At 54.7% G+C, this 10197-nt stretch overlaps 1 annotated feature.

Moving 5' to 3' along the window:
* Positions 1660–2160: an enhancer, noted in NCBI's record as "H3K4me1 hESC enhancer chr2:2641129-2641629 (GRCh37/hg19 assembly coordinates)". NCBI's record gives its function as "activates a minimal SCP1, AML or CMV promoter by ChIP-STARR-seq in naive H9 embryonic stem cells {active_cell/tissue: H9 hESC(naive)}" and the evidence as "EXISTENCE:reporter gene assay evidence [ECO:0000049][PMID:30033119]".

Genomic DNA, 10197 nt, shown 5'->3' on the forward strand with positions numbered 1-10197 from the left:
GTGTGTTTTCATAACAAGAAATCACTCAAAGAGACAAGCAGTCCCGCAGTGTGGGGTCAAATATGTTAATTAGCATTGCAGGATTAAAAATGTTAAATCAGAAGCGTGGAGGTTAGAGAAAAAGCTCATATCCAGGGGGCGACTTCTGAGCCTGTCTCCCCGCGTGCGCAGCTTTCCGTAAGGAGATCACTTCATCTGGGAGTCAGCCCTGGCCCTAGGAGACCTCGTCCTTATTTCACAGACAAAGAAACTGGGTCTCAGCACAAATAAGAAACATGCTGGAGGCTAGCAGCCCTGCCGGTGCTGGGGGCTGGCGCTGGAGCTCAGGCTACGTGCCCTGTCAACGGCTGTATTTAGGCCTCTGATGTGTAGGCAGAGGGGGCATCGCTGCCCTTGGATCCTGCATGTCAGAGCTTGAGCGTGGGCCCACCTCTTCCACGTGGAGAGTGAGAGATGCGGAAGCTGACCACAGAGAAGGCCCTGCCCCCTTGCCCCCACCCTTCAGTCGGGTCCAAGCCTCTGATTTCCAGCCCTCACCAGCCTCTGGGCACCTGTCTACCTGTCTATCTCCTCGTCCCCATAAAGACCAGATGACACTTCTTTTTTTTTCTTTTTTTTGAGACGGAGTCTTGCTCTGTCACCCAGGCTGAAGTCCAATGGCGCAATCTCGGCTCGCTGCACCCTCTGCCTCCCGGGTTCAAGAGATTCTCCTGCCTCAGCCTCCCAAGTAGCTGGGACTACAGGTGTGCACCACCACGCCCAGTTAATTTTTGTATTTTTAATAAAGACAGAGTTTCACCATGTTGGCCAGGCTTGTCTTGAACCCCTGGCCTCAAGAGATCCTCCGCCTGCCTCAGCCCCTCAAAGTGCTGGGATTACAAGCGTGAGCCACCATGCCCAGATGACCAGGTGACACTTCTAATCCAGCCACCTGGTCTCTCACCCTGATGGCTTGTCACACATTCCCTGACCCAGTCCTGCCCATCAGCCAAGCCAGCCTCTGTTCCAGGCGCTCAGAATATCTTCCCAGGGGCACCTCTGGTCACATTCGTCCTGCACTCCTTCCCACCAAGGCTCAGCTTTCCTTCCTGGTGATTGAGGCCTTTCTGGCTCAAATGCTCTGGGCGACTTCTCCTTTCCAGCCCCATGTGACTATCCTGCCTCCCTGTCATCTTCCCTCCTTCCACTGACAACTTCTATTTGTCCTCCAGGGCCTGGGGTCCTCCCAGAGGAGGCCCAGCAGCCTCAGGTGTTATAGGCCCCCATGTCCACTGGACGCTCTCCACAGCTGAGCTTGTCACTCATCCGGATCCCACCTGCTCCTCCGATGCCACAGCTGCCCCAGCAGCTCCTATTGCACCAGTAGTGTCATGTGTCAGGCTGGGCGTGCAGTAGGTGCTTGATACATAAAGTCTGCTCAGTGAAGATGGGCCAGAAAAGACAGAGGTCCATCCCTGACCCACACCTCAGTGGCTCTCCATCAGGACTGCACTGATGTTCTATGGGGTGGGACTGAGTGCCCAGGGGCCTGGAGGAATGCCAGAGGCACGTGAGTTCACACCATGTCCCATCACCGCGTGGACTCGCACAGGGCAAGAGCAGGTTCCTGGCAGCTCACCCTTGTGGGGTTCTCAGAAAATCCTGCCTTTAAAGCTCTTTTGGGAGTAAGTGGATCTCGCTGGAACCCCCTCGATGAGATCCAGGCGGGACTTGGGGTGTTTCTTCGCCTGCCCTGAGCCCCACCCTGCTCAGGAACTTGCATAGCTTGTCCCCTCTTGAAGGCTCTGGAAGTTCCCGCCTCTGTGAGCAGGACAGAGCCGTGCTTGGCCATGTAGGCTGAGCTGCTAGGACTCAGAATCTGCCTGCTGTGTAGACTGAGCTGTTAGGACTCAGAATCTGCCTGCCGTGTAGGCTGAGCTGTGAGGACTCAGAATTGCTGACCGCCCAGCTGCTCAGATGGGGAGGGGCAGTGGAGCACCAGAGGGCCTGGGAGACCCTCCCCACAGCAGCTGATGCCTGTTAATTGTAGAATCATAAAACGATAAAGGGGCCTTGGAGATCAATGCATTTTATCTGGCATTGCTGCAAACTGCAGCTGTTGGCATTCATTCTTCCAGCCCCCAACCTGGACGAATAAATACGTTGTCCAAAAAGTGCAGCAAAGACAGTGCTGCTCTTAGCCCCCAGCCCTCTGTTTTGGAGGTTTCGGCCTCTTTCAAACTCTAACCTTTGCCCAAAGGAATAGGAGAGTGTGGGGGGCCAGGGCGGGATGATGGAGACAAGAGCCAGATTCTAACCTGAGAGAATCTGAAAGAGCCACAGGATCTGGGGTGTGGCCTCGGTTTCTCCATCTGAGGAATGAGGAAATTGATGAAGATGACCTCTGAGGTCCTAGACAGCCTTAAAGATTTAAAGATTTCAGAAGGCTGTTTTATATGATGGGGAAAAAAGGCAAACTCCACATGACATAAAATTAACCCTTTTCAGGTGAACAATTCGGTGGCATTGGTACAGTCACAATGTGTGCCACCAGGTGGGCCATTGATAGGTTGATCTGTTTTTGTATAGACAGGACAGAGATCAAGCAGGAGCCTGGGAAACTAAAGGAGGGGGTCTTGGCTCTCATCCTGGGCCCCATGGATGTCACTGTCCCACACACTGACAGGGACACAATCCGGAGACTGCCCGTGGGCAGGAATGCAGCAGGAGCCTGTCATGTGTCCTCAACTCCACCTGCCGCCTGAGAAGGCATCACCAACCTGCTGGGGCCCCACGTGTTCAGGCCGCAGCCCCCTAACCCTCCCTTGGGTCTGCGCGTACACAGATGCTCTTGTCACCAGTCAACAACTATGACATAAGGAGAGCTTGAAGACAGCACCAGGTCCAGGTCCTGAGGGGACCAGAAGAGAGGAGGCAGCCCAGGCCTGATGGAAGAGGAAGCCTCTGAGAGCCCCAGGACCCAGCTCTGTGTGGCTCTGGCCAGGCAGGAGGCGGGCACAGGGCCACAGAGGACCCGCATGGTGAGAGATCCCCGTGTGTCCTGGGATGGCTGGAGCTGCCGCCCAGCTCACACACAGCCCGCCTGCTCACTGTGGAGCCACATCCTTCATTTCTGCAGAGAAGCTGGGCTTTGGGGAGAATAGAAATGAGAAGCCGGCGCTGCAGCTGAGGAGGGGGATGCAGCCACGCCGGATCTGTCATGTTCAGAAAGCAAAAGATAGAGTGAGAAGCTAGCACTGACCTCACAGATTCCTCAAGGTGCTTTGTCCTCATTGCATTCCAGCACCTAAAACTGGCTGCTGCTGCCTTTCTTTCATTTTTATTTATGTTTATCTCCACCCCTTTAGCATGAGTGGTGTTTGTGAGGATTTGCTCATTTGCTTTCTCAGTGCTATGTTTTCTGGAGAAATCTGCGCTTCTGCACTTACATTCTCTGAAGACATAAAAGCTATGCTTTTTTATGGGAGCTATGAAGATGGAGATAAATATACGTGTGAGATGTATTCTTGTCTCCATGTGCCAGGGGCAGTACATGCACTGTTTTTGGTTCCTGAAACAACGGGAGATAGGCATGCATCATCTACTGAGATGATTTGGGGGAACAGTAAGTTACTCCCAGGGGGTCATGGGAGGAGCAGGGAGAGTGGAGAGGGGTGCACCTGCGGACCTCGGTGACTTATTTCCCAGGGAGAAAGCTGAGGCTGCAGAGGTCATGCAGGTGATCGGGGGCGGCTTCCCAGCGTGGGGTCTCCAAGCGCTTTTCTGAAAGGTCTGGACCGCCTCCATCTCCTCCTCGGCCCCTTGCTTCATCTGTGTGAGCTTTCTGCCATGACCCCTGGCTTCGGCAAGGGAAAGGTAATTTTTCCCTGAAGCACACAGAACGTAGTTTATGGTTGCTGCAGCGTGCGCTTCGAGAAACTCTAAATTACTGTGCTTGCCGAGACCTGCGTGCATGAATAATGGATCCAGCCCAGATGCAGCAGCCTCGTGTGCGACTTCTCAAGGCGCCTCGAGAGTCTCTCAAGGGTGCTCGCTGAGGTCACAGCCTACTTGAGCTATTCTGGGAGGGGAGCAGCAGAAATCTGCAGGTGGAGAGGAAACACCATTCCTCACCAGCATCAGCCTCCCGCAGAAGCCGCCAGAGGCGAGCTCTGAAGAGCGCAGGCCTGCCGGAGGGAAGGAGCTGGCATCTGTTCAGCTCTGCTCAAGAAGCAAGGGGCATTGTGGCCGCAGCTCTGCAGGCACGGTCCCATTTAATCCTCCCAAATGACCACCTCCAGCAGGGCAGGCATGGGATCAAAACACAGAGCGTTCTACCAGCCCAGAACAATATTCCTTCCACGATTACATGTCACGGCAGGGGAAAGTCACTTAAAAATTTAAGAGCAGCCTGGCCAACATGGTGAAATGCCATCTCTACTAAAAATACCAAAAATTAGCTGGGGGTAGTGGTGGGCACCTATAATCCCAGCTACTCAGGAAGCTGAGACAGGAGAATCACTTGAACCCAAGAAGTGGAGGTTGCAGTGAGCCGAGATTGCACCATTGCACTCCAGCCTAGGCAACAAGAGCAAAACTCCATCAAAAAAAATTTTTTTGAGAGCAAAATGTGCGGGGCTTTGATGACTGTGGCTCCCCTGGGAAGCAGGGAGCCTCACTTGCAGTCTCTTGCTGGGCTTGGTGACCTTGAGCTCATCACTGACGTTCCTGGAGCACACAGTGTCACAATGTGGACGCCATGCCTCAGTGCCTCTCTGCCATGTGGGCAATACACAGCACTGTAAATGGAGTGAGATGTCACTGGGGGAAGGGCAAAGGCTCTGCCCCAAAGATGGCACCGTGGGTCCTTCTCTCGCTCTAATTCTTGCAGACACGAGGTAGGCCGATGTCTTGGCTTGGTGTGCTGTGTCATCAGTGTGTAACCTACTTCATTCTTCCCTGTTAGTGTAAATTCAGTGACAGTTTGGGAAAGAAAAAGGCAGTTGGCACTGTGTTCACAGTGTTGGTGAACAAGCAGGTGCATTGCTCTGTGCATTCTGTATTTGCCGTCAAAGTTGCTTCACACACAGCCCTGGAGGCAGAGTAATGGCCCTCAATGACGTTCAGCTCCTAATCCCTGGAAACTGCAAATATGTCACCTCCTGTGGCAAAGGGAACTTGGCAGACATGCTTCTGCTACAGTCTTGAGACAGGAGATTCACTTGGATCAGCCAGGTGGCCCGAGGCAATCACTAGGGCCCTTAGAGGGGACAGAGGCAGGAGGGTCAGTGGCAGGGGAGGAGAAGCGAGAGCAGAAGCAGAGGCAGAAGGGGTGTGGGGCAGGAACTGGGAGAGTGGCAGCCCTTCCTGCACCACCCAGGAGCACAGTGCAAGTCCCAGTTACACCCAAGCTTTGTTTCTCAAGCACACCCCATGTTTCATAGGTGTGTTATTTGCAAACTGCTTCTCTCTGCCTGGAAAACATGTCCTTGAAGGCTCAGTTCAAACCCCTGCTCCCTGGGGAAGCTTCCCCTTACGGCTCCTCCTGCAGAGCTGGGCCCCCCACCCTGCAGCATTCTCAGCAGCTCCTGACCACACACCTGCCCTCACCATCCCTCCAGTGGACACAGAGGCAGCCCTACCTATCTCTCTCGGGGTCCCACAGCCTGGTGGCCGAGGGGTGCCTTGTGCTGTTGAGAGTGTGCAGCCATGCACACACACCAGACCTCTTCTCTTGCACACTCCTCTCTGGAGGCAGACAGCTGTGGAGGTCGGTCAGGAGAGAGCCAGAGGCCACCTGAAGATCTCATCTCAGAGCGGAGGAGAGCTCTGTCCAGACTGCTGGGGACAAGGATAGTCGCTCTTCATGGTCACAGGGTTCAACATCTGGTCTCATACCTGGGTCCTTTGTGAGTTCCCAGTGACCAGGGTTTCTCAGCAGGACTGCTGTCTCCGGTGAGGCTGCCTCACCCTTGGCTCTCCTCTGGGGCTGAGTTATTCCCACAGCAGAGCATGCCCTCCATTTCCCAGTCCCGGGTGCAACGCTGTCCAGAATCTGAGCGGCGGGGGAGCTTTGAGAAAAGCTGCTGTCAGGCCACTGTGGGTGGGGGTCAGAGGCTCTCAGCCCAGGCTGCTGTCAGGAAATAGGGGACATGGAGGGATGGCCATCGCAGTGAATCTTAACCAGGAGGCACGACTAAGGAGTGAGGTTAAGGATTTCTTTGTGGGAGCACATGAGTCACTCATATTGCCCAGGAACAGGGGTATCTGGCACTTCCGGGCTCTGGTTGTGGTGTTGCTTTGTCTGTGCTGAGACATGATCACAGAGGCCACCTCTTTTCAGCCTTGATGTGCGGTGAGACAGGCTTTGGCTGAGCTGGTGTCCTGTTCACTGTGGTGTGAGCGGCAGTTGCGGTCAGGGCTGCGTTTGCCCCCGGAAATGCAGGTAGTGCTCCTGTTCTCAGCTTCCTTGGGAGCTCTGGCATGCGGCCTGCCCCCCGGGTTCATGGCAGGGCTTGTTTGGCTTGTGTGGCTGCAGTCCATGAGCTCCCTGGTCCTTGAAAGAGACAGGCAGCCTTCACAGGCTGGCGACACCAGAGTGGACCTAGACAGCAGTCATGTCTCAGGTGAGTCAATGTTACCATGATCAGGGTTCAGCCGCAGGCATGCATCTCAACCTTGAGCAAATAATGGTATCCAGAGAGAAACCAGCCATCTAGAAAATCTAGGAAAACATATGAGGAAAGTTTGGTTTGTTGAAAAAATTTATTTCAATGAGAAAAGAAGTAGAGAGTCAGAGAGAGGGAAAATCAGGGAGAGAGATCCAGAGAGAGAGAGCGGGAGAGAGAGAGACTACAGTATACTAATTTCTGATGTAATGCCTTAGAAGCATGGTTTAAAGACAATTCTAAATTAAAATATTTTCTATATGGTTACAGAGAGTAAATCTTACTACTTATTATGTTTTATTTATCCTCATTTCGGCATTTTAATTTATAGGCTATTTAAGCCCAGCCAGTAGTAAGAGTCAGAAGAATGTTACCTCTTAAGACAACCTTGCATGCAGATTGTTTTATGTGAGCCTAGGGAATTAAACATTTTTTGTAGCACTTTTTCTTTTGCTCAAATTTGTAAACTGTATCAGGAAGTATATAAAACATAGTACACATTTTTAGAATACCATGAAATAAAGTGACAGGATGCTGTTGAATGCATTTGAACACCGTCTGATACCAACTTATCATCTTCCCAGGGTCTGCCTGCCATCATGGGGAGGTGCAAGGCGGCACAGTTTTCTGAGTAGCCGGAGCTTCCGAGAGCCAGACCCAGCCAGAGGTGGCAGCCCCATGGGCTTGGGAAGCCCCAGCTAGGGGATGGACAGCCAGAGACAGACCTGAGAGGCCACCAGGCCGACACAGGACTCGCCGTCCTGGGGGAACGAGGGCAGCCCAGGATGCAGGGAACAGGCGGCACACAGAGGCCAAACCTTAACCCCTCAGCGCTGAGAAATGGGCTCCCACGCAGCTGCACCTTGATCGCAGTGGGCTCACAAGCAGGGCAAGACTGAGCCACGTGGTGTGAAATTTGATTGCCATGGTGCTGAGCAGGCGTGGGACTGGCACGACACTGGGGATCTCTGCTGTCACATTTCCTTACACTGAACAGCTTGGCTTCTGGCGGAGGAGGCACTTTGGCCGTAAGAGGCTGAGTCCTGACTTGCCAGCCCCGGATGCCCACCAGCCGCTGTGTCTGCGCCAGATGCTCTGTGCCCCATGCTAGAGGCTGGCTGTGCTCTGGGGTTTGGTGCCTCTTTCTGTCACTGGGAAGGGACCCAGGGGTCCATCCAGCCCCTTCTTGGGCATAGACATCAGGGAATGTCAGGTCATTCTGTCGCATGCCCAGGAAGCTCAGGCCACAGTAAGCAAGCCAGGCTGGACGACATCACCGGGGTCAATGTCAGCCCACGTTGGCCACCAGACGTCCTGGAGCACCAGGGTTTCAGCAGCTGGACTGGGGCCTCCTCCAGCCCGTGGGCCCCTGGGCTGTCTCCCCTTGTCTGACTTGGTGCCAACTCGAGAGAATCTGGTCCCAGCAGAGGGAATGCAGGAGGCCCAGCCTAGGCACAGGGGTTGCTGCCAGCCCCGACCCGGCTGAGGCCCCAGCAAGCCGTGAAGCAGAACCTGTCCAGGTGGCATCCTTAACTTCTTGCCCTAATATTACACTAACGCCAGCGACAGAGCACACAGCAACACAACAACAACCACACACCACCACAACAACACAACATCACAACACAACAACAGCACACACCACCACCGCCACCACATTACATTCCCACCAGTGAGAGAGCACACGACAACACAACAACCATGCAACCACACAACCACACCACACACCACCACCACCGCAACACAACATCACAACACAACCACACAGCAGAACAACAACCACACACCACCACCATATTACATTCCCACCAGTGACAGAGGACACAACCACACAACAACAACACAACCACACAACACAACCACACCACACAATACCACCACATCACAACACAACCACACAGCAGAACAACCACACAACCACACTACACCACCACCACCACCAGTGGCAGAGCACACAACAACACAACCACACAACAATGACACAACCTTATCACACACCATCACAACATCACAACACAACCACACAATGACAGAACAAAACACAATCACAGAACCACACCACCACACAAAATCACAACAACACAACTGCACAACAGAAAAACAATAACACAACAACACAACACTACACAACACAACACCACCACCACAACAGCAGCAGCAGAGCGTCCCGGAGTTCCCCGCCTGCTCTGGAGGCTGTGGCCTGGCCACACAAGCTCTTCCCCTCCTCAGTCTTCCACAGGGATTCCTGCCTGGTCAGGCCTCTTCTCGGAGACTTGGTGAAGTAGAAGCGGGCAGAGATAGGCAGGAGCTGCAAGCTAAAAGCCACCAATGACCAGACTGGAGGAGAACCTGGGGTGGGAGATCGCTGAGCTGAGCTCAGGAGCAGGTGTGGATTGAGAGGAGCACGTGGCTGTGCCCTGTCCTCTGGGCTCAGAGCCCCTGGGACTGCATCCTGTGAGAGCAGCTCTTGCCACCACCTCCCCTCCACCTCTGAGCACCCTGTCCACCATTCCAACCACCATGTCCCCTCCACCTCTGGGCACCCTGTCCACCATTCCAACCACCACCTCCCCTCCACCTCTGGGCACCCTGTCCGCCGTTCCAGCCACCACCTCCCCTCCACCTCTGGGCACCCTGTCCGCCGTTCCAGCCACAACCTCCCCTCCACCTCTGGGCACCCTGTCCGCCATTCCAGCCACAACCTCCCCTCCACCTCTGGGCACCCTGTCCGCCGTTCTAGCCACCACCTCCCCTCCACCTCTGGGCACCCTGTCCGCCGTTCTAGCCACCACCTCCCCTCCACCTCTGGCCACCCTGTCCACCCTTCCACCCACTGCCTTCAGAAAACCTGGCCTCCTCGGCTGCCTGCACCTTGTGTGCTCCCAGATCTCTGTGTGGCTCCCACACAGCACTCGGCCGTTCTGCCTGACATGGAAAGGACCAGGGCTGAACACGGTAGCAGCGCCTGCATGGCGCAGGCTGTGGAGTTGACAGAACTCTTCCACACATTGTCTAAGTGTCTCTTGTACAACCTTGTGAGAAAGGACACTGATCAGAGGCCATGGGGCTCGCCAGCATCCACGCTCTCCCCTCCTTCCTGGGCACACAGCTGGGCTCGTATCTCCAGCCCCCTTGGGCTGCAAGGTGGAGCTCTGGTCACCGGAATGTGAGCCGAGAGCCCAGCCCCACTTCCAGCCATGAACCTGAGAGGCCCCTATGAGCCTGAATTTCCTCCCCAGTGGGCTGATGGGGGAACCCTTTGAGGACCGGCGGGAGGAGCCACCACATGGAAGGGCCCTGCTGATCACCATTCTCCTGCAACGCGAGACACAGCCAGGGCGGGGGTCAAGGAGGCTTCCAGGGGCACACTGTGAGCAGGAGCCCTCTCTGGACCCCGCAGGGTCAGGTGGCCTTACTTTCATTCTGCACCCCGCAGGGTCAGGTGGCCTCACCTTCATTCTGTACCCGTGGCACCTGCTTGCCTCAGTTGGCTCTGACCATGGTGAGAAACAGACCTCAGTGTTGCCAAGCCACTGAAATCAGGTTTCCT

The sequence above is a fragment of the Homo sapiens genome, chromosome 2 (genome assembly GCF_000001405.40).
Source record: "Homo sapiens chromosome 2, GRCh38.p14 Primary Assembly".
Classification (NCBI taxonomy): Eukaryota; Metazoa; Chordata; class Mammalia; order Primates; family Hominidae; genus Homo; species Homo sapiens.